The sequence below is a fragment of the Homo sapiens genome, chromosome 2 (assembly GCF_000001405.40).
Source record: "Homo sapiens chromosome 2, GRCh38.p14 Primary Assembly".
Classification (NCBI taxonomy): domain Eukaryota; kingdom Metazoa; phylum Chordata; class Mammalia; order Primates; family Hominidae; genus Homo; species Homo sapiens.
In genome coordinates, this window is record NC_000002.12 from 95,761,230 (window position 1) to 95,763,988 (window position 2,759).

At 55.2% G+C, this 2,759-nt stretch overlaps 1 annotated feature.

Annotated features, from left to right (window-relative positions):
• Nucleotides 780-1,694: an enhancer, noted in NCBI's record as "H3K4me1 hESC enhancer chr2:96427757-96428671 (GRCh37/hg19 assembly coordinates)". NCBI's record gives its function as "activates a minimal SCP1, AML or CMV promoter by ChIP-STARR-seq in primed H9 embryonic stem cells {active_cell/tissue: H9 hESC(primed)}" and the evidence as "EXISTENCE:reporter gene assay evidence [ECO:0000049][PMID:30033119]".

The window sequence follows — 2,759 nt, forward strand, 5'->3', positions numbered from 1 at the left end:
GGAGCTGCTTCCTATCCCCCACTGTCCTGTGAGTCACCTCCCCACCCTCCACGTCCCTCCCACATGGTGCAATCAGCATTCCCGCCTCTCTGCCCACGTAAGTGCTGTCAAAAGGCAGAGGCAATGGGTGGTGGGTGGTCAGGCGGGCAGTGCCTCTCACCTCCCAGTTCGTCTGTCTTCTGTCAAGTGGGGCTGCGGCAGGGCTGAGAAGACTGTGTTCAAAGCATCCGGAAGGCCTTGGGTTGTCAAGGGCCCCAGGCAGCACATGAAGCTTTGAAAGGTGCCCCTGCCTTGTGCCTGGGCAGGCTCCTTCCCTGCTCTGGGACCCCATCTTGAGCAGACTCTGGAACCCACATTTCCACCATTAAAGTGCATTCCTCCAGCCACTCTGGGTCTCTATTAGAGCCCCTTTGAGATGAAGAGACCTGGGTGGGGAGCATGCGGGGCAGGGGCCCATCTTCAGTGCTCTGGCATGGGTTCATTCCTCAGGCTGCTCCTGCAGCCACCCCTAGCTGAGGACAATGCCCAGATCCACAGTGGCCTGAGAAGTGCTCCCAGCAGAGTGAGCAGAGCTGGGCTTCGGTGCTGTCTGCCTTCTGTCCTGCTGCAAGGCTAATCACCTTCTGTTTCTGGGCCTTGAATCCCTTTTACAGCATGGGGGCTGGATGCTCTTTGAGCTTCCTCCTGGCTTCAATCCTGAATACCGACACCTACTTGTTTGCAGTTGTGTGACTTGGTCAAATCGTGTAACCTCTTGAGCCTCAATTTTATTCTGTGTGAATGAAACAGACAGTGAAAGCCCTGAAGATTAGATTTTTAGATTTTTGATAGAAGAATTGTAACAGCAGTGACCCCATAGCCCTTTACCATTTGCAAGGTGCTTCAGACAAAATATCTCGCTGGTCCCTCCCAACAATTCCGCCACAAAAGGTGGTATTACTTTCATCCCCAGCTTACAGTTTGAGGAACGAAGGCCCAGCTATGGGGGCAGGTGCAGAGGTGGGCCTCGCTTCCCGGTCTCAGTCTCTGGATGAAGGGCAAGATCCCTGCAGCTAAGGACGAGGGAGTGGTGGCACAGAAGGTCCGGCCTGCTGGTCTTTCTTTCCCAGCCTGGGGCATCTCTGTGAAGGCCGATGAGTGGCGGCCCCTCCCCAGGTGCTGGTGCCAGGCAGCGGGGAGCTGCTTCTGACAGCTGTGCAGACAATCATCACTTCTCCATCGCTGCTAATAGCAAGGTTAGCTTGCCGACTCCTCTGTTTGCCGGGTGCCTCCCACGGACCCAGAGCTTGGAGTTTCTTCATTGCCTGGGGTGGGGCAGGGTGGCAGAGGGGCATCTCTGCTCCCTGGCCCTGGCTGCAGCCAGCAGCTCCACCCAGGGCCCTGAACTTGGGAGGCGACTGCAGTTCCATGCCTTGGCTCCCAGCACCCCAGGGAAGTACATCTGGGCTCTGGAACAGCAGAAACGGCCTCCTGCAAATCTCCTACCCGACACAGGACCAAGTGTGGGAATGCTCTGGTCCAAGGGGCTTTCTCCAACTCTCTGGACCACAGGGAGCCGGCAGGATGGGGGACAGTCCACCTTCAGATTACACCTTTACCTCTGACTCAGACCCCTTTGCCTCCCAGGCCACCATACGACGTCTCCTGCTTGCAGATCTGGCCATGCTGGAGGCAAAATGGATCCCCAGCCCCTCAGTTGTGACCCTTCCTAGCTTGTTAAGTTAGTAGAAAACTCAGCTCACAATCTCGGGGACTGCTCCTCCCCTGGTTCATCCACAAACCCCAAAGGTTCATGGGATTCCTAAAAGCAGCCTGACAAATTTCCCTCCTGTGGGGAGAAGACCCTGTGGTCTGGCAGGACCCACTGCCCTTGGCTAGGTGCCCCTTGCTTTGATCCTGGGTCTGGCTCCTGCCTTAGGAGCCTGCAGACCTCTGTGGGGCCACTCCCTGGTGACCCACCCAGCCCAGGAAGGATGGACCCCGCAGTGGACAACACTCGGTTCTGTCCATCTCCCTGCCTTGGGGAAGTACTTGCTTGTAGTTTTAATTTACCTTTGACCCTATGGTGCACTTCTGGAATGTTCCCTCCATGAGGGTGGGGACTTGGTCTTGTTCACGGGGATCTCTCTGGCACCTGGAGCAGCTGCGTAGCCCAGGGTGCTCAGTCATCGTCTGCTGCCCGAACAGATATGTGCAAGTTTGTCTTCTCACTGCTGTTAACATTATTGTATGAGTAATTTTACAAGTTTACCATTTTTCTTGTAAGTATAATAAATATCCCACCTTATTGACCCACAGTTCCCCCTCCCAAAACTTGCAAAGTATTTTGGCTGACTTGACTTGTTTACTATGATAAATAATGTTGCTATAAACAGCTGTGCACATATAGCTATTTTTCCCTTTGCAATTATGTTTTTGGGAGGAATTCCAAACAGTGGGGTTAGCGGGTCAAAGGGCATGGCGTATTTATGGTCCTGGATGTGCTGGGACTGCCGAATTCTCAGCCCCCAGGCCACCCCTGTTTTCCCTGAGGTCTAGCTCTGGGTGAACACCCACAAAAGTGTCTGTCTGCCCGAGGCTACCCTGGCCTCTGTCTGGCTCCTGCGGTCATGGAGCAGACCTCATGGCGCGGGAGCTGAAGGTGGCCATGGGAGTTTGAGGAGGGGAAGAGGAGGCAGCTGTGGGAGTTGTGGAGATGGCTTCACGGAGCCAGGAGCCCTGTTCCGGGAGGGCAGTAGGACCCCTCTTCTCCCAGAGCC